Source organism: Homo sapiens, chromosome 3 (assembly GCF_000001405.40).
Source record: "Homo sapiens chromosome 3, GRCh38.p14 Primary Assembly".
Lineage (NCBI taxonomy): Eukaryota > Metazoa > Chordata > Mammalia > Primates > Hominidae > Homo > Homo sapiens.
The window spans coordinates 145,238,520-145,239,472 of record NC_000003.12 but is presented as its reverse complement, the minus strand read 5'-3'; positions in this window follow the sequence as shown (position 1 = coordinate 145,239,472).

Genomic DNA, 953 nt, shown 5'->3' with positions numbered 1-953 from the left:
CAAATGTCTTTTCCCCCACGAGACATTATTTTACTCCAGTTAGAATTATGTTTCTCTTTATTCATGCTCTTAAAACACTTCTTTTTAAGCACTTTTTATACCATCATGATCTGGAGTGTGAATCTTAAAATATATTAGAGTTAATAAGTAATATATTTATTTTCATTTACTACTAAATATAAACATTATAAACAGAATAGTTTTATCTATCACTCAATAAAAATAAATTTTTTAATGTAATGAGTAATATAGATACAAATTATTTTGCCCTGAATATTTACCTTAGGGAAATTCTTAACTTCATTCTCTGTAACTATAAATCAAGTGTACATAGCTTTTAAAGAATGAAATTATTTACTATAAATTAAAGATTATTTTATAATAATAGAGAATAAGGGAAATTATGTGTATGTATATGTATATATATAATATATATCATATATAATTATATTATATTATATATTATATATAATTATATATGATATATATACATAACTATGTAACATATACTTCTAGATATAAACCAAAATAGAATAAAGAAAATCATTTCCTATTCTCGACAAATCTATTTTCAACTACATGGAAACACACTAACAAACAAAGTCAGAAGCATGTGTTCTATAAATGTGCTACAACAAATGTTCAAGCATTAACTCTGATACAAATGAATGATAGAGCAGCTTTTACAGTTATAACATGATAAAGTGCTTAAATGCATGGGCTTTGTACTAGGTACCCTGGTTACATCTCAGCTCCTCCACTAGAAAGTGACATGGTTGTGAGCCACCTACTTTGAGAGCAACCTCACTAGACTGGAATATATTAGAATTAAAGGGGATTATGACACATAGCTAGTCACATGTATATACATCAACAATAGATGTCTCCATTTTAACGCTTATATCTAGTGCTATATGCAAGTAGAGAAATGACTATGTAGCACCAGCTAAGTG